The 20,941-nt window shown below is 41.0% G+C and overlaps 1 long non-coding RNA gene across 3 annotated transcripts in view; it reads right to left on the bottom strand.

Moving 5' to 3' along the window:
* The window catches only part of LOC105372666 (uncharacterized), a 483,513-nt gene that overhangs the window by 386,224 nt on the left and 76,348 nt on the right, over positions 1 to 20,941 (bottom strand). The window contains exon 3 of one of the 3 annotated variants that reach the window (XR_007067652.1): positions 2,941 to 2,977. The exons of the other annotated variants lie outside the window; for them this stretch is intronic. This is a non-coding gene — a long non-coding RNA (uncharacterized LOC105372666). The remainder of the gene's footprint in view (positions 1 to 2,940; positions 2,978 to 20,941) is intronic. 3 annotated transcript variants of the gene reach the window in all.

Below are 20,941 nucleotides of genomic sequence, written 5' to 3'. Positions count from 1 at the left end.
GCAAAAGAATAATGAGGCCAGGTGCTGTGGCTCATGCCTGTAATCCCAGCACTTTGAGAGGCAGAGGTGGGTGGATCACCTGATTTCAAGAGTTCGAGACCATCCTGCCCAATATGGCAAAACCCCGTCTTTACTAAAAATACAAAAATTAGCCAGGCGTTGTGGCGCACACCTGTATCCCAGCTACTTGGGAGGCTGAGGCATGAGAATCACTAGAACCCAGGAGGCAGAGTTTGCAATGAGCCGAGATTGTGCCACTGCACTCCAGCCTGGGTGACCGAATGAGACTGGGCGAAGAAGAAAAAAGAAGAAAGAAGAAAGAAGAAGGGGAAGGGGAAGGAGAAGGAGAAGCAGCAGAAGCAGAAGCAGAAAAAGCAGAAGGGTGGGGGAGGGGAAGGGAGAGGCAGAGGGAGAAGAATAATGAAAGATTGCCACCAGTTTAGAATGTGAAGTCGGGGAAGGGCTTGTGAGTCAGGGACTGGAAGAATGAGTGGGAGACAGCCAGGAGGAAAAAGAGAATCTTTTCCACTAATCTTTACCACTAATCTTTGCAAAAATGGGGAAGAAGTGCCGTGGGATAGGACATGATAAAGGCCCCAAAAAGAAGGTCATTCGAATAACATCTTGTATGGAAAAAGAAAATAAAAATTGGCCCTACTCCAAACCTCATCACTAGGTTGGTTCGACTGAAAAGTAAGTTGAGTCATCATAGGAGCCATCATTTTCTCTAGAAGCAAACAAGTCAAGGCTAAACTAAACTAAATTCTGATCTTTTACTTCTCTGGACTAGAAGACAACTGTTTGAGGACTTTATTCTTTAGAAATAAAAATGATTATTCATAAAAAATTTTCTGGTGGGAAAAAAATCACCATTTCTGTACCACCACACATGGGCATTTCTATGCATCCACAGGTCAAGAAAGTCTGATTCTAGAACTCAGTGTCTGGAAATACCAGGTTCACAAACGTGCCCAGTGCCCTTGGGTGAGGCCTCCTTCTCTTTGGCCCTCATCCTTCCAATAGCTCTGAAGGCTTTTATGCAACTCCACCAAAAACCCAAGGGACTACAGTACACAATTTGAAAAATCTTAATATAAAAGATTTTTTTTTATTTCCTAATAGTAAGTCAAGACATATTTAAAGACATTGCTGATCATCTAAGTCAGGAGTCAGCAAACCATAGCTCTCTGGCCAAATTCGCCCCACCACCTATTTTTCTAAATAAAGTTTTATTAGAACATAGCCACATCCATTCATTTACCCGCTGCCCTTGGCTTCCTTCATGTGGCAGAGTTAAGTAATCATGACAGAGACTTGCAGGGCTTACAAAGCTTAACATATTAACTCTGGCTCTTACAGAAAGAGTGAGCCAACCCCTGACCTAAGTCATTGTTTGCAAAAAGAAGCATAAGACATGAATTCGGGCCAGGCACAGTGGCTCACGCCTATAATCCCACCACTCTGGGAGACCAAGGTGGGCAGATTACTTGAGGTCAGGAGTTTGACACCAGCCTGGCCAACATGGTGAAACCCCATCTCTACCAAAAAATATAAATATATATAAAACTTAGTCTGGTGTGGTGGCAGGTACCTGTAATCCCAGCTATTCGGGAGGCAGAGGCAGGAGAATCGCTTGAAGCGGAGGTTGCAGTGAGCCGAGATTGCACCACTGAACTCCAGCCTGGGTGACAGAGCGAGACTCCGTATCAAAAAAAAAAAAAAAAAAAAAAAGAACATGAATTCAAACCCCAACCCTAGCTTGTAACCAAGCCACAGGGTTGTAATGAAAGCTTGAAATAGTAAGAAGAACAAAAGGAAACCACAGCCTCTGAGAAGTGAAGGTAAGAAAGAGATATGGCTTGGAGCAGAGCATTTCCTCAGAACACCGGAACACACTGAGTCGGCCTGCAGCTGACTTGCCTCACCCCCGATCTGAGACACAGCACCAGGGGCCTCACCTGGCCTCCAGTGGGATCTGTCCCTCACTAGGCTCTTGGTAAGCTCTTCCATCCCGCACTTCCTGGCCTTCGGTGTTGTCTTTAACAGCATGGGCTTTGAGAGTCTTCCCTGAGCTTCGAACCTGGGAAGTTTCCCTCATCTACACTCTTGTACTGCTTCCCTTTTCCTCCAACTCCACTGGTCACTCTGCATTATATCTGGTGATTACTTGCCTGATAGCTCTGCAAGATTATAAGCTCCATGTGGTCAGGGCTACACCTGTCTGGTTCGCTGTTGCACTATTCCTGATTCTAAAACAGTTCCCAGCACATGGTAACACATAAATGGTCATTGAGTGTATTCCTTTGTATGAAAGTTTGGGGATGAAATAATGGAGAGGAATAATGTGATATAAATGTAACAAGGAGAATTACACATGGGCTGCCTTGGTATTGGTCCCTCACCCTATTCCCTTAAAGTATGCATGAGAGAGGGCCAGAAAGAGAGGCTAGCCTGTGCAAAGGCCCTGAGGCAGGAAGGAGCATGGGGCATTGGAGGAAAGGAAAATAGACCAGAATGGCTGGAGCAAGAAAGCCAAAGCAGAAGGCTACAGGAGAAAGTCAAGGCCACATCACACGGGACCTGGTATACCACGTTAAGGATTTTCAGTCTTATCCTTCTTCCATGGAAAGTTTTAACTAGGGTAGTGGATGATTCAGTTTGCACCACCAGCAGCAGAAGTTGTGAATTTACAGGCAGTAGATATGTGCACAACAGAATGCCTGACATTGCGTTAGATATTATGGATGTGTTCTTAATGAATCATTGTCCTTGCCCTAGGGATATTTTATGTAAGGAAAATACAATTACAGTTTGATAAGGGCTTCAGCAGAGTTAAGCTTAGGGGACCACAGAGCAAGTGCTTAAAAGGAGCCTCTACATTTTGCTTACATGCATGAAAGGAGGGGGTTCCTGTAAGAAACCTCTAGTATTTCTCCTTACCTGGGGGCAGAGAGTCATTCAACCCAACAGAAGTATTCTGTAGACAAAACAGATCATAATTATTAAGCCTCTGAAAACATGTGAGGTTGTACAAATAAACTGTTAATTTTTAAAAACCACAATACTAATTCTAATATATACCCAGGGATGGTAAATTTTCTCTGTGAAGGGCAAAACAGTAAATACTTTTCGATGTCACGAACCAAACAGTATCTATTGGAACTAATGAACTGCTGTTGTAGCATGATGTTTTCTATAGACGGCATGTGAGTGAATCGACACAGCCACGTTCCAATAAAACTTTATTTACAGCAGTAAGTGATGGGCCAAATTTGGCTCCTGGGCTGTAGTTTGCTGTTCTCTGATCTATTCTATATTATAATTATAAGCATATACGGGTGTGATCTTTATGAACATGGACGAATGGGAACAGAAGAATGGAAGCTCTCATCTCTTTGGGGATTGGGATTATCAGTTGGGTGGCTCTCTGCTATTTTTGTCTATTGATTTATTCTTCTGGGAATGCCACCCTGATTGGGTAGGAGGGAGTAGAGAACTACTTGTCCATCATCTTTAACTCACTGAGTCCAAGAAATTAACCCACCCTTAGATCCAAAGTAGGGCACATACCCGAGACCTGACCGCCCCCTGCCCCCACCACCCTGGTCATTCCACTGTCTTGGCCATGGTAATCTGTTCAGACAGGAGCATGAGCACAAGCAGACCAATATGAAACTCACTTCCTTGTTTTGCTTTGATTTTAATATTAAGAGAGAGAGAACCTCAGGCTGCTGAGTTTACTGAAATCAAAGCATAGGAGGCTAAAAGTTTCTCATGGCCATTTTGCACCCCCAGGCATTGGTCCTGCTGAAGAATGATGCCCACACATTGGGAAACAGATCTAAGAAATGAAGAAATGATTATTCTACTTGAGCATTGTTTGAGTCTCAGATGAAGTGATATCTAAAAGTAATTCTGTTCCTGGATTTTTCTGTGACTCAAGCTCGTGTGTTTTTTCTCCATCTGAGCTTGTTCCAATTCAGTTTTTGTCACTTTCAACCAAAAATTTTAAATGAGATCATTGTTATGGGTTTTTTTTTCTTATTTTAAAAAGTCTTTCAATATCTGTATAATATCACTTTAGCAACAAATAAAATTGAGAGAAGATGGATGAAAAGGTAACATATTTTATGTATTCATTTCTGAAGCAAAACTCATGTTCCATTTTGGCAGTGGGTGGCGGGGGGGCGTTCTTTGTCATTGGACTGACTGAGCCACTTGCAGTTCTGAAATTTGACTGAACAAATCTAAGTACTCTCTCCAAAAATGGACTGGGGGCCTATTTTGAAGCAAATATATAAAGACAGGGCTATAGCAGAGATCACAAATGATGACAATAGAAAATAATTCAGAAAAGACCATCTGACTCTGCAAAAATGCAGTGACATATGTAGGACAGCTGAGAGTCTCCAGGAGAGGATGAAAGCAACCGTGACCATCACGTGGCCACAACCTCCCTGAAAAACAGACTTCGGAAGGAAGCACAAATCTGACAGTGTTCCTGCCGTGCTTAAACCTCAGCCCCAATTCCCAGCTGCCTTCTTAAGCCCAGACTCCCATCGTGGCTATGATTGTCACAGAAGACAAACTTGAGTGTGCAAGAAATAAAATCTTTTAAAATTCTTCTGTAACTCCACTTAAACTGTTTTTATGTCAAGCCCTCCATCTACCTAATGGCAGAAAATTTAGTCACTTCCAGGTAAGTGCCATCATTCTGAGTTAAACACACAACCAATTTAGGATTCTGCACACACACACATACACACAGTCACAAACTCCTTCCTTCTTTTTTGGTAAGCGTCCAAGGACCAAGACATTTTGGAAAATAATCATGTTAGAAAGCAGAGTCTGGCCTGTCACTATACTTTGCTCTCTAGTAGCATCTGGTGGCATTTTCTGGTCTTGGGTGCTGTTGGTGTTTATCTCCCAGCATGTTCTGAGAAGCCCGTGTTACTCACTGTGTCTCTAGTTATCAAGTCTACCAAGGCCAACATGTGGCCTCCACATCAGGTCCCAGTGAGGCGTTCTACAGCCAACCACCCAACCACATTCCAGCCAGGGAGTAGCAAGTGGCCTCTCTACACAAAGAGGCCCCCAAACAGTTGCAAAGAACACTTCCACTTAAACCACTCTGGCCAGAAATTAGGCACATAGTCACACCCAGACACACAAAAAATGCTGGGGTTTGTCATGTTATTCTCATGTGCCTGGATAACCTTTGTGGGTCCAATTACTAAGAAAGAAGGGTTATATTAGCAGAAAACTTGCACTTTCTATCCAGATATTTCATATGTACCTCAAAATTGTCCAAGGCATAAATGTTACTGGAAAGGGGTCCCTATCCAGACCCCAAGAGAGGGTTCTTGGATCTCATGCAAGAAAGAATTCAAGGTGAATCCATACAGTAAAGTGAAAGCAAGTTTATTAAGAAAGTCAAGGAATAAAGATATGGCTATGCCATTGGCAAAGCAGCCCTGAGGGCTGCTGGTTGCCCAGTTTTATGGTTATTTCTTGATGATATGCTAAACAAGGGGTGGATTATTCATGCCTCCCCTTTTTAGACCATACAGGGTAACTTCCTGATGTTGGCATGGCATTTGTAAACTATCGTGGCGCTGGTGGGAGTGTAGCAGTGACGAGGACCAGAGGTCATTCTCATCGCCATCTTGGTTTTGGTGGGTTTTGGCCAGCTTCTTTGCTGTAAACTGTTTTATCAGCAAGGTCTTTATGACCTGTATCTTGTGCCAACCTCCTATCTTATCCTGTGACTTAGAATGTCTAACCTTCAGGGAATGCAGCCCAGTAGGGCTCAGTATTATTTTACCCAGCCCCGATTCAAAATGAAGACGCTCTGGTTTAAATGCCTCTGACATAAAGATAATCATAGAGATGCAATAAGTCAGAATACTGAAAACAAAGAACAAAAGAACAAGGGCAGATGACAAAATTAAAAGAACAAAGGTAACACTTACAATTTAAAAGTAAAGGTTTTACGATTCTCCATGGCCAAACGTTGAAACAGAAAAGAGAAAATAAAGAGTCAATAGCTGGGGAGTGAGAGAGGTGGATCCCAGCCAACAGTAGAGTAAAATTGAGGCCACCTCAAAATGTGAACAGACTCTTCAGTCACTTTCTTGATCTTTAATGGAAATAAACTGAGTGTGAAGCAGAGAAGGTGAGAAAAACACGGCTTATAAATGGAAATACACCAAACAAAGTGGAAACTTCGTATCAAGCCCACAGACAAGTCTCTGAACAAAGGGAAACTCTTTAGGGTCAAAAAATAAAAACAACTAGAAAAATGTGACCAAAGGGAAAGGTAAGCTTTGGGAAGAAACTAACAACAGTGCTCCCACCTAAAGCGGACACAAAGACTAGTAAAACTTGAGTGTTTGGTTTAGCAAAATAGAAAATCAGGTTTTATCCTGGAGTTTGATGCCTTGCACATTCATCCATCCTCTGGTTTTATACAGTTCTAATTCTCAGAAAGAGAGAGAAGAACCTGCCTGCCTTAAACTACACGCAAATTAAGGTGAGACTTTGGCTCCATTTTTTATTATATATAGCTATCATCTGCTCTAGAATGAGCTGGATTTCTTCCACTGAGTTCATATCTCCTTCTGTCTTTTTAAAAATGCATTTTAAAGCTTCATGTTTCTTTCTGGAAAATCTACCATAATGTAACAACAGATTTTAAAGCTTAAATGTATATTAATCATGATGCCAACAACCACAATCTAATATAGTCCTTACCTTTTACTGACAATGTGAATTTTAATTAAGTGTATAATGCATAATTAAGACCCGAAGTGCAGAATATATTTTTGGTCCTGTTTACTGTGTGTAAGAAACTCTAACATGGAATGAAGTTAGCCTCCCTCCTGCAAAAGACTCAAAATTTTACAAATTAAATGAATGGTGGCTACAATTGGGTTTTCAAAGACATTTTGACTACTCATTCAAGATGGTTGACAGAAATTGGAAACAAGCTTTATGTTCATCTGTAGAGTAGGGGAATGATTAAATAAATGATGGTACATCTACGCTACAGAAAATAACAAAGTAGCATTATAGGAACAGATATGGAAAAATCTCCAAGGTACATTATGTACATCATTTATATAGCATGACTTCATTTAACTAAAAATATTATGTGTGCATGTGTGCATATGCATACATATGTGTGTATAGGTATGTATTTTTGTAATTACATATATATGTGCATACCCAGACATGTGCAAAAACATGAGAAAAGGTATGAAATTGAAGACATAAAATTTGAACATTGATTAGCTCTGAAGCAAGTGTTGGCAAACTTTTAACATAAAAGGACAGATAGTTAATTTTTTCAATTTTGTGGGCCACTCTCTGGCATAACCATTCAACTCTGCCCTTATAGCCCAAAAGCAAAACTAAGTGCATGATCGTGGCTGGGTCCCAATAAAATTTATTTACAAAAACAGGTGTGGATGTTGGGGGAAGAGATTTGGTCTGTGGCCCATATTTGCCAGCCCCCTCCTCTGGCGAAATGAGTATTATTTGGGCAGTGAAGGTGCTAGCAGGGAGTCAACAAAGCAATGAAAAGGGAATTCTACTGTTTATTCTATATTTTTAAAAATTAATTAAAAGACTACCATATATTAAAATTGACTAAAGTTTTTTATTTGAAAATTCTTTATTTCAGATTATGATTACTTCACATTATTTAAGTTTATATTTAATTAATTATAGCCTATCACTGGAATTTATTTAAATATTGGAATATAACTTATGGCTTTTTTTTTATTTTACTTTAAGTTCTGGGATACATGTGCAGAATGTGCAGGTTTGTTATATAGGTACACATGTGCCATGGTGGTTTGCTGCACCCATCAACCCGTCATCTAGGTTTTAAGCCCCACATACATTAGGTATTTGTCCTAATGCTTTCCCTCCCCTTGCCCCCCACCCCCTGACAGCCCCTGGTGTGTGACGTTCCCCTCCCTGTGTCCATGTGTTCTCACTGTTCAACTACCACCTATGAGTGAGAATATGCAGTGTTTGGTTTTCCGTTCCTGTGTTTAAAAATTACAAAAATAAAGACAGAAACTACTTTGCGTCCTCTCTCATGCTTTATCCTGATAAAGTGTGTGTATGTATTTATTTATTTTAGAGACAGGGTCTCACTATGTTGCCCAGGCTGAAGTGCAGTGGCTATTCACAGGTGCAATCATTGTGCCCTGCAGCCTCAAACTACTGGGCTCAAGGGATCCTCCTGCCTCAGCCTCCAGAGTAGCTGGGACTATAGATGCTTGCTACCATGCCCAGCTCTAAAGTACATATTTTATCCCCATTTCAGAGATGAAGCAATCTACCAGATGGATTCAAGCAAGCAGATTCTGGGGCCCAGCTCTCTGGCTTTGGATCCAGGCCTGACACTTCCTAACTTTTAGACCCTGGGCAACTCACTTTACCTCTATCAGTCTCAGGTTCCTCATCCATAAAATGTGAATTAAAATAACACTTTACTTGTAGTGGTGTGAGGAGACTTAAATGAGCTAATACATATACAACACAAAACCCAGACTCCTACGCATAGTGTGCTGCTATAACTGTCAACTATTTTCATTACACTGCCAAACTAAATACAATGTCTTTATTTTTAAAAATAAAGGGAAAAAAGTGCTTATTTTTGCTATAAGTGACTTAACTTACTCTGGACTGTAAGTTCTGAGTCATCATCATGTGTATGAAAGGCAACTAACTGTGCCCACCACCCATTCCCAATTTCTTTCTTTTTTAAATTTTTTTTATTTTTATTTTTTGAGACAGTCTCATTCTGTCACCCAGGCTAGAGTGTAGTGGCGCAATCTCGGCTCACTGCAACCTCTGCCTCCCAGGTGCAAGCAATTCTCTGCCTCAGCCTCCCGAGTAGCTAGGATTACAGGCGCCCGCCACCACGTCCAGCTGATTTTTGTTATTTTTAGTAGAGATGGGGTTTCACCATCTTGTCCAGGCTGGTCTTGAACTCCTGACCTCGTGATCCACCCACCTCACCTCCCAAAGTGCTGGGATTACAGGCGTGAGCCACCGCACCTGACAATTTCTTCCTTTTAATGGTAGAAGTCTGTGGATTGTAGCTGGGCACATGGCCATGGAGCTGAAGAGTACATTTCTCAGCCCCCCTTTTAGCTAAATGTGGCCATGTGACTCATGTGTCTAGCCAAGAGAGTATGAACAGAAATAAAGAGTAGAACTTAAAAACAAGCTGTGCACCCCTTTCTCATGCTGGAATACAAGGTGCTGCTTATGAAGCCAGCTCCACTGGGTCAAGGGCAACGCTCTAGGAGATGGCAGAACCGCAAGAGAGAAGAAACCAGGTCATAGTTGATATCACGCAACAACCCTGACCACCTATCACTCTGGTCTTCAGATGAGAGACAATATACTTGGATTAAGACATGTTAAAATTGGGGCTAATAGCTACAGAGCAAACATAATAATAAAACTGCATTCATTAGAGAAAATCTAGCTGATGGCACAAATTGACCTAAAAATATAAAAATGGCTCAAACACAATTGCCATGTATTTCTTGCTGATACAACAATACTAAGTGGTTCCAGATTGGTATGCCTGTGGTAAGGGGAGAAAGAATCTTGGCTCCATACTGCTACTCAGGGCCAGCAGGATAAGTGCTGCCATCTTCAAGAAGTGGCTTCCAGCTTACTATGGTCATGTCCCTGCAAGAGGAAGAGCTATGAAAGAACACATACAGGAGATTTGTATGGGCCAGGCAGGGAAATGGTCCTTATTAGTCCTACTCATGTTCTATTGGTTAGAACCATCCTATGGCCACACCTAACTGGAAGAGAAGCTAGGAAACCCAGAACAGCTATTGCACAGGTTGAAGTTATCCATCTCTGACACAAGCATTGTGCAAGCCCTCCAGGGCAAAGATTTTTGTCTTTTTTTTTTTTCCACGCTGTGCCCCCAGTATCTAGAACAGAGATCAGCAAACTTTTTCCTGTAAAAACCCAGATAGTGGCCAGGCGCGGTGGCTCAGGCCTATAATCCCAGCACTTTGGGAGGCTGAGGCGGGTGGATCACGAGGTCAGGAGATGGAGACCATCCTGGCTAACACGGTGAAACCCCGTCTCTACTAACAATACAAAAAAAATTTAGCCAGGCGTGGTGGCGGGCGCCTGTAGTCCCAGCTACTCAGGAGGCTAAGGCAGGAGAATGGCGCAAACCTGGGAGGCGGAGCTTGCAGTGAGCTGAGATCACGCCACTGCACTCCAGCCTGGGTGACAGCGAGACTCCGTCTCAAAAAAAAAAAAAAAAAAAAAAAAACCCAGATAGTAAATATTTAGGCTTAGTGGGCCACACATTCTCTGTTGCAACTACTCAGCCCAGCCGTAGTAGCATGAAGCCAGCCGTAGACAATATGTAAACAAATGAGCATGGCTGGGTTCCAATAAAATTTTATTTACCTAAGCAGATGGAGAGCCAGATTTGACCAGCAGGACCTCATTGGCTGATTTAGAACAGTGCCCGACACAATGGTTGGTGCCCAATAAATGCTGGCTAAATGGGTGATAGGGAATGAATAATACAACTCTACAAGTTTGACCTAAGAAATAAATAAAATATTACAAGAAAAAATTTAGCAAAGTGCCTAATGCATAGGAATTGCTCAATAAATACTATTGATTCATTATTTGGAGATATAAAATAGGAATAAAATATATTTCTCAAGGAGCAATCAATGTAGTAGAGAAGACAGGTATTTCTAGGAAAGCAATTAAAATAGTATTTACATGGAATAATAGAAGTACATACAGTGGTCTGATATAGTATAGGGTGGTTAATTCTGGGGAGGAGAGAGTGGGCCTAGGAGAAAATCACAGAGGAGATGAAGCCTGCAAGGGGGGTAGAATTAGAAGGCATTCTAAGAAATGAAGACTTTTTTTTTTACATATCTGAGCCAGAAACTCATTAAAGGCAAGCTGATGGCAGATGCCAGAGTCTGTGTAGGAGATGTTCTGTCTGCCTGTAACAGTCTTCCCCTCCCACACTTCCATCCTTTCCTTCACACTCACCCTCGAAGTAAGTATCAGCTCAAACATCACCTCCTTGGGAAACTTCCTGACCATCTTTTCCTGCCCTGTGTCCCCCAGACCAGGTCAGCCTCCACTATTGCATGCTCTCTAATGTCTGTTTCTTGTAAATTTATACTCAGCTGACTCTGTGTGTGTGTGTGTGTGTGTGTGTGTGTGTGTGTGTGTGTGTGTACAATGTCTACCTCCCATAAGGACAAACAGCTGGACTGAGTTGCTCACCACTTGGTACGTAACTGACATAGAGAGCAGTCAATCATTATGTGTTGAATGAAAGAAGAAATTTTGCATTGTGTTCTCTGATGGCGCCTTAAATGTGGATAATTGGAGCCTCTAATTGAGGTTAGATTGATCTATGCTTCAGAAGCTAGATGAGCTGGTGGTGATGTTGACATGATTTGGTAAAATCTTAGAGGCTTAAAGAACAGCAAAAAGCAATGGCTAAAACAGTAAGCTTGTACTATAATATATGTGCAACTTTTCTGCAAATCTAAAATTATTCCCAAACTGAAAGTTCATTTTGTATAAATGGCAAGCCCTAGAGCTGACCATTGGGGCTGCAATCTCGGCCCTGCCATGTATTTATTCAACGTCACTGGGTGTTCACTCATGTCAACCTCTTCATCCATCACCTGTGGATGGCAATAATAAAGGCTCTGGCTACACAGGAGAGTAAGGGAATTCACACAGAAGTGCTTGCCCATGGTGAGTTCTCAGTAACTGTTAGCTACTCCTGTTATCATTTCCCTTTTTACCACCAGAGAGCTAAAGAAGAGGGTCATTCCCCATTCCCACAGAGGTGAGCCATGGGGCTAATGCAGGTGAGGGAGGCACAGGGTGAAAGAGATTGAGTTCTGAGTAATCATCATCATACTGCATTCTCTAGATGTTGCTATAACTTCATTTCCTTGAGACGATTTGCAGATGTGCACATACCACGGAGGGGAAATAGAGCCACCCCGGATAAAATTAGGTCAATATTGATCGAGAAAGCCAAACGACGTTCAGACACACTGCTATGTACACCCATTAAGCTGTGATGTAATTGACATTTCAAAATTAAGACCACGGGCATAGAGATGAGAACATGACTCACAGATATTTCATATACACTTGTTTATTGACTCTGTGTGTTATATATATACACACACAAACCATGCATTAGTCACTTGATAATTCAAGATTAGGTGCACATAAGCCAACAGTATCATTTCTATTTAAATAAAATGAGTGTGTGTATGCCAGTGTTTTGTAATAAAAGCTTACCTGAGTCAAATGTTTTACTATGTTATAGGCTTTGGACTAAGTATTCTATATATACAAAGTCTGTTTAAAATAAAAACTTATAGGCTGACATGTAAAGAAACTGATGAGAGGTAAAGCAAAGCACCCAAACAGCATAGCTGGAAGAGGCAGAGCTAGGACTCTAACACTTGGAAACAGTACAACAACATCTAACACTAGATACTGTTGGTGTTGGTGATATTACCAGCTAGTATATAGAATACACTACAAATACCCAATGAATATAATAGTAAAAAAATTTTAAAGTTAAGTGTTCAGGTACTGGAACTGGAATAATTCTAAAGAATAAAATTTAGTCCCATTTGCTACGATGAACATAACCTTTGAGATGAATACTAGCCCACCAGATCCAAGCCCAGATGATGTGCATCATCTTGTCCGAAAAAAAAAAAGTATCTCTAGTGTTTTAGAAACTGTGAATTGCTGAACACAGCTTATAAAAATACCACAGAAAGAAAATAGGTTCAATAAAAGGCTAAATTCTAATTAAAATAAATAGAAACACAACTAATAGCAGAAGGCAAGAGAAAAACATTGGGGAAAAATAAAAGCTGTGTGACTTAATCTTTTTATCATCACATGGAAACAAATAAACCATGATAAGTGAATTTTTCTTTTCCCTCCTCCTCTCTTTAGTTGATATTGCTCAAGAAAAAAAAATCTGTCCTTTTCCTAATTTGAAATAGTGTATCTGGGATAGTTCAAGAAAAATAACAAAACACTACTCTTGACAAAGCATAGATTTGCATTAATATTTTCTTCCAATATTTTCTTGACATTGAAACTCAAAGATGGATGATTTGGAGGTTCTTAAGGCTTTTGCTGGATGGAAACACTCAAAGCTCTCTCTGCTAAGGAAGAGAAGTCGGTAGCCCAGGGACATCCGCATGTCACTGTCAGGGCCATGCCCTGATCACCTGAGTGCTTGATGCTGGACTGCAACATCAGCAGCATCTGCATCTTTTTGCCTAAGGGATTTCTGTGGTCTCTGGAGACCAGTTTGCCATAGGCACGGTAGTCCAGAAGTACCAAGAATTAATGGTCCTCTAGGAGCTACCCTCAACAACTGACAATGTTGGTGTATAAATACCCCAACTCCCTCCCTCCCCAGAAAGAAAAACTCTGAGGCATTTTTCTCCACTGGCTTCCAGAGTTTTCCAGGAGACATTAAGCTCCAGTCTTCCATGGCGTTAGCTGTCTTGATGACTCAACTTTCCTTCCCTGGCTCACTTCCCCACCTTCTTCTGGGTATTTCCTGGTACAACCTCCCAAATAAACAACTTGTACTCAAATCTTTATCTCAAGTTCTGCTTCTGGGGAGAACCCTAAATAACAAAGAATCTATCCAAGTATTGAGGGGGAAGAAACTCTCAAGGACCTAGTTTTGTTCAGCTTCCTGATAGGGCAGGGGAGGTCAGAGAGGGAGGATGGGGTGATGCAAGGAGATTAGAAGGAGAAAATAAAGTTTATTTCTCACCCCATATCCTCTTTTCCAAACTCTCCCATGGGAATAGTTTCCACAAAAAGAAGCTGGATGAATAGTGATTCTGTAGTTTACATACACATAGGAGACTCCACAAGGAATTGCATTTCCTCCTGCAAAGTCCTCATTTAAGGCATTTATTCAATAAATATACATCTACAGAGAGGCAAAATAATTACATGGGCAGGGCTATGGCTTTTGGAACCAGACTGGTATGTTGCCACTGAGCTTGAGTCTCTGGCTCTCCTGATATTCTTTGAGCAAGCCAGTACTCTTGTAATAAATCATCCTTTTGTCTAAATTACCAGAGTTCATTTCTGTTGCTTACACCCAACAACCTTCACTGATAAGATGTCCCCTTCTGTTACTAGACTCTAGTACCTCATAGGGCAGTGTCTCTGCCTTAATCACCTGTATGACCAAGGACTGGATTTTAACCAAGGTCAGAGTACTAGAACTTTTGAGAATGTGTCTGTGCATGTGTGTGTGTACGTGTGTGTGTGAATATGCACATGTGTTAAGGGAGAGAGAAAACGGAGTATAGTTTGAAACAAACATTTCAAGTTTATTTCAAAGTTTCATAATACAACTTTGTATTTGTAGAATAAAAGGTAATGTTTCATCACACAAAATAGAGCAAAACAGCTCTGCAAAAGCTTCCTGGTTCTTGAGACTCCTGGGATGGTACAGGGCAAATGCAAGGCTGAGTAGAAGTTAAGAGTGCTGTATCTAGCATCAGATAGATGTGGGTTCAAATCTAAGCCCATTGTTTACTAGCCAGTGTATGCCAAGAAATGCACTCCTTGCGTTCTCGCCTTTCTCACTGGCAAAAGGCAAAACTCACTGTTCCCATCTGACAGGGTTATTGTGAGGATTAGAAGAGAAATGGCATACCTGCATTCAATAAATGTGGATGGATAGTGACGAAGGTGATGATGGCACCAGTGTGTCTGATCTGTGCATGGCAAAGCCTGCAGGGAGCCTGTTTGCCTGTAGGTCTGAAGAGGACCCTGGGAGATAACGCAACCTAAGGGAAGGGGCATCCAAACACACTTAGAATGGCCAGGCGTGGTGGCTCATGCCTGTAATCCCAGCACTTTGAGAGGCCAAGGTGGGTGGACTGCTTGAGGCCAGGAGTTCGAGACCAATCTGGCCAACATGACAAAACCCCGTCTTTACTAGAAATACAAAAATTAGCTGGGTGTGGTGGCACGTATCTGTAATAATCCCAGCTACTCGGGAGGCTGAGGCACAAGAATGACTTGAACCTGGGAGGTGGAGGTTGCAGTGAGCTGAGATCCCACCATTGCACTCCAGCCTGGGCAAAAGAGCAAGTACTCTGTCTCAAAAAAAAAAAAAAAAAGCAAATAAAAACAAACAAACACACTGAGAATGACCTTAGCTGCCTAAGAGAAAGGGAGATTCTGAATATAACATGGGGTGGGGCTCCTGGATGTGCCTTCTGGCCAACACCCCACTGGACTCTTGCCCCCAAGTCTAATGGACAACTGGGAAAATGCAAGTAAAAACTGGAGATACCATAGCCCCAGGGACTCTTTTAAGATATGGGGTACCAGCAGACTGCCTGGGGGCCTCTCTATCAGAGGGTATTATCATGAGAGCCCCTTACACATCCACAGAATACAATTGCCTTGGCATCTTGAGGCTGCAAGTTCTCAGTATTCCCTTACAAAAGTTGGATTCGCCCAGTCGGAAGGGCTGTGCCCTGTGTCTGCCCATTGGGTCCCATGGTGCCCTCTGAATGCTTTGCAGGTCAATGGTATTAGCCAGAGGGAGGCCCCTGACAGGAGCAGAATTTCATGTAAGCCCGTGTGGGAGAGCCTCAGGGCCCAGACCAGGGTGAGGTCAATGGAGAACTCACTTTGGAGCAGAAGTTAAGAGGCCACCAAGGAACACAGTAATCAAGATAAGTCATATTTTAATGCCATATTGTTAAAAAATTGAAATGACCAAAAAATATGTCAAACAAAATGTCATACACACAGACACACATATATACACACACATACACTCGCTCAATGCATATATATATGATATATATATATATATACACATACATATATGATGCTGTATATAAAGACAGGATCAGTCACAGCACTGTGCCGAGCCATATTAGAGCCCGATGCATACGGAAACATCACCAACACTGATCCTTTCTTTATCTGAAATTTTAATATTTTCTTCATCATGGATTTTTGGCATTCATTTTTATTTTTTAATTAAATCATAGATATTATAATTGTTTTGACTACTGAGTTTTTTGGCGCCCAATTCGTACCCAAGGTGAGCGCCTCCCTTGCCTCACCCTGGAAGCTGCCCAGAAATATTAACCTGGGGAAGGAGAGAAGCAGTTCACAGTGGAGGGCCGAGCAGATGCGACCAAGAGGCAGAAATCTGTGGATTATTCCTGTGGCTGCGACCTGCCCATTTGTGCCCACCAGTACAGATGGACCACATTTATAATGGAAACCATTTCAGAATGATTGGTATTTTGGAATAGAATTGATAAGTTACTTTGCAAGTTAGATTTGCTGTTTGGTGTTCCAGGGTATGGTTCTCTTTCCTGCCCTGTCCTGCCCACCCCCCACTATCTCCTCCTACCGGGTGCGCGCACACACACACACACACACGCACACACACACACAGGAAGTTTGTCAGCAGCTAATCTGAGCCCATCTACTGCTCTTTTGTCAGTAATGGCATATCTCCGTGTGGGGACACTGTGCTGCATACGAAATAGGGCCTGTCCGCCTCGCCGTGCACACTCGCTCTTCGGGAGGCTGAGGCTGGTGCTGACAGACAAAGGCTAATTGGCAGGATCCAGCAGTCAGTTTCTGATGACACAGGAGAAATAATAAAAGACAGGGACGGGAACAAAGAAAGTTTAGAGGGAATAATAAAGGAAATATCTATACCATGAGCATTTGCAGACGAGAAGAGAGGGCAATTTGAAATTGAGGGTGGGGGGGAATGTGGTCTCCGTAAACAAGAAAGAATAAGAAACAAAGACGTCGAAATGCTTTCCTTGATAGATCGTGTTTAAATAGATCAATAAGCAGACAGATACATAAATGGACAGAAACACAGATGAAATAGATAATTTGGCATTTTATTCTCAGAGCCTACCATTTGGGGGAATTCAGTGACAGACACACACTCGCATACACAAGTTAAATTTAGTAATACACAGGGAGTTCAAATTAGAAAGTCAAATAGTCCAGCAAATGATGTAACTTAAGGAAATGGCTACAATATCTGTTTATATCCCCATGTATGCCCTAGAGTGTTCAGGAATTTTTATCTTCTCATTTGTTACTTCGCCCATTATTAAATTCTATAAAATGAAGGGGGGAAAAATATCTAGAAGGGAAAGGGGGAAAAACTGAATACAAATAACTGCATTCCTCGTAGAGGTCACACGTTGTCTTTAGGGAAACTAAGCAGTTGATCACATTCTTACAGGAAAACTAATTTAGGGCTTCTGTTTAAATTAATATAATTAAAAATTCCTCTTTTAAAATGCATACATTTTACATTTTTGTCAGGCTTGGTTTTATTGTATTAAACTGTGTGTGTGTTCTCACGGAGAGAGCATGTGCTTCTTTAGCAGGAAAATGATCAATTTTTGGCTGCTTTTGTTTCAGAGAATTTTACTGTCTAAGGAAATGACCTAGTTTACGGTTTCTCTGCATTCAGGGCATGTTATGCTACTGTGCACACAGAGACAAAAAAATAGCGACAATGGAAAATATCCTTTGGATTATTTTTTTCAGCCCAGTTTGATGTATGGAAAGTACTCCAGAGTTCTTACACCAAAATCTAACTTAGTTCAACATCTATTTTTGCCTGTCTACTGTGGACAGGCCATAGTTCACACCCTAGAGGAAGTTATGAGATAAAGCAGAGATTACAAACTGGTGACCTGGGGGCCAAGTTGGCCTACAGGCATGTTTTATTTTATATTGTATATTTTATATTGTAGCACAGACACTCACATTGCAGCATTCTAGAGTGTATTGAATTTATTTTTTATTTAGTTGCCAACATCTACAAATTAGGAGATTTCATTAAAAAGTTCAGGTTTCTAGCTTCTTAAAAATCCATGACAACATCAGATCTTCATTCTCATACGACAATTGGCCTAAGTAGTGGCCGCCCCCTAAGACAGGGCAAGCTCACTCTGGTTCTCCCCAGTCCCCACCACTTCCTATTGTTCTCTTGCATAGACCTAAGTCTCACTTACCATTTATCATTCTGCTTACACTATTGTCTTCCTTAGAGTAGATTTAAGAAACCTACATAATATTCTCTGTACCCATATATCTATTAAAAGTGGAAAAATTAAAGACAAACCAAGCAATCCGTGTGTTTTAAGAAAACATTTTCTCAATTTCAGCTTACTTGATTCACTTATCTAATAGGTCCCTATAAAAATAACAGCTAATATTTATGCAACCATCACTATGTGTCAGGCAATTTTCTAAGCATGTTATATACTTAAATTCATTTTAGCCATACAACCACTTTATGTGGTTGGTATTATTATGATCCAGTCTCACAGATAAGAAAACTGAGGCTCAAAGAGGTTAAGTGACATGTTCATGATCCATTGCTAGCATGTGGTAGGACCGTGTAGGCACTGAAATATTTTCTGCTTGATATAAAGTGTGTATGACACAGCATGTGATAAAAATAGCTAGCATGCATTACCTGCCTAGTATATTCCAGGCACTAGAACAGGCTCAGAAAATATAAATCGATATAAAGAGAAACTTTCACTGGGTTACAAAAAGGCTACAAAAAAGATGCTTCAAAAGTTGGAAAGAGGAAACTATTACGTCAAGTGCTCAGAGGAAGCTTAGATATTTTCATCCAGGAAGTGGAAGTTGAAATTGACCTTGAAGGTTGAAGCTGAGAAGGAATAAAATACACAGAGATGTAGCTTGGAATGCAAGGGTCTTTAGTTGGAGAGAGTGGGAAAAATGAAAGATTATAAATGGGAAAATACAGAACACATCCCAGGAAGAACGAGGACAAAAGACAAATAGATATGGATCATGTTTCTTCATGTTTCTTGAAGTGCCAGCAATGATGATGCATTCTAAGGGAGATAGGGATGGACAAATCTTGGACACTGCCCTAAAATAGTTTATATTGTGGTAAAGAAGAATAAAATATTTGTATGCATTTATGATTCAAGGGGGAAAGTGAAAAGTGGCCTAGCTAAGACACCCTGTTATCCCACTGCCTGATGAACACCTCAGGCCCTGCAACCCCAACTTGCAGAAATATGAACCCATCATCTTCCACCACACCTGCTCTTCCCAGTTCAATGAAGGATGCCATTTTCCTAGGACCATGACTCAGATAATTGGGTATTATTCTTCTCTTCTCCCCTTTCTCCATCCCCAAGATTCTAGTCAACAGGCCCTGCCAATCCCACTTCTTAAAGGTCTCTGAAATATCAAACTGAGCTCAGTGGCACATGCTTGTAATCCCAGCTACTTGAGAGGCTGATGGGAGAGGATCACTTGAGCCCTGGAGCTCAAGACCAGCCTGGACAACATAGTGAGACCCCATCTCATTTAAAAAATAATAATAAAGTCTCTGAAATCCATCTCTTCTCTTCTTGCCTTCTGCCACCACCTTGGTCCAGGCTGCCATTTTTTCTTGACTAGGCTATTTCAACAGCCTTCTCACTGGAATGCCATCCTTTCTACCATCTTGCCTTTTTCCCTAAGCTTCCTGTATGTATTTTAATTTACCTGTGGCACATTGTTCCCTGCTGGAGTCCACTTGAATAGTCATATTATGAATGAGGGCAAAGTGGCAAGTTGTCAATGTAAAAATCTATTTAACATGAAGATAACAATGTGCTGCTAATTATCTCTATAGTTAGCATTATAATGGTTAAGAACATGAGTTCTTGGAGTCTAACAGGATGGAGTTCAAAGCCCAGCACAGCCCACCTACTAATGGTATGCAATCTTGGGCAGATGAACCTCTCAGATTTGCTTTTTGTAAAATGGGGTTAATAATAATATCAAACTTCCAGATAGTTGTAAAGATTGAATTAAATAATCATTATGCTGAGAGCTTGGCACATAGTAAGTGCTCGAGAACTGTATTGTTTTCTCATAAAGGCTATTATTATTCGGTAGTAAAGAATGGTGATGGTTTAATAAACCAGGTCAGTGCGTCACTGCTCCATGCCAGCATATAATCAAGAATTCCAGCATATCTGGAAGTCCTCAGGGCCTTGGAAACTGTGAAGCTAAGCAGTGTGGTTTGCCTCAATTAAGAGCAGAGAAATGGTTTCTTCTCTGTGTTGTGATTTTAAGTAATATCAATGTTTCCTAAAACTTATTAGTGTAGGTCTAGGTGAAACAAAAATAAGATACCACACTGGGAAATTAATTTTAAACAAATTACATGTAAAATGCAAGGATTTGTAATATTGTTTCTAAGGCAGTCTAATCTTCATATCATATATTTTGCTTTATGAAGCTCCCAGTTTTAATCATATTGTTTTTTATTTATTATTCCATATAATAATTGGCTTATTTGTAATATTAATATGCATGAATTTTTTTAGCCTGCTTCTTCAGGAAAGCATTCAGCCTGATGTTTATAATATGTTGATTTTAATATGCAATAGATGTGTTTATATGCAGATTAAATTGGATTGCATTTATACTAAACAAGAAAACCAAAATGTAGAGAGGTGCTGAGACCTGAGTAACTCTCATGAAAGTATAAGAACCCATGACAATTTTCAGCTCATTCCCTCCTAATAGCATAGCAGTAGATCAAACCTTAGCCTGTCTCCGTCAATATGATGCTGTACATATTTTTAGAAAAATGGAGAGGTATTTGACTCTAGAACGCTCCTATAGCAGTGGTTCTCAATGGGGAAGAGAAGGGGATTTGGGCTCCCAGTGGACATTAGGCAATGTCTGAAGATATTTTTGATTGTCATAACTAATGAGGTGGGTGGGAGAGGATGTTACCAGCATTGAATTGGTTGTTAAACAC

This window comes from Homo sapiens, chromosome 20, assembly GCF_000001405.40.
Source record: "Homo sapiens chromosome 20, GRCh38.p14 Primary Assembly".
Classification (NCBI taxonomy): Eukaryota; Metazoa; Chordata; class Mammalia; order Primates; family Hominidae; genus Homo; species Homo sapiens.
This window is presented reverse-complemented; position numbering and strand designations above follow the sequence as displayed.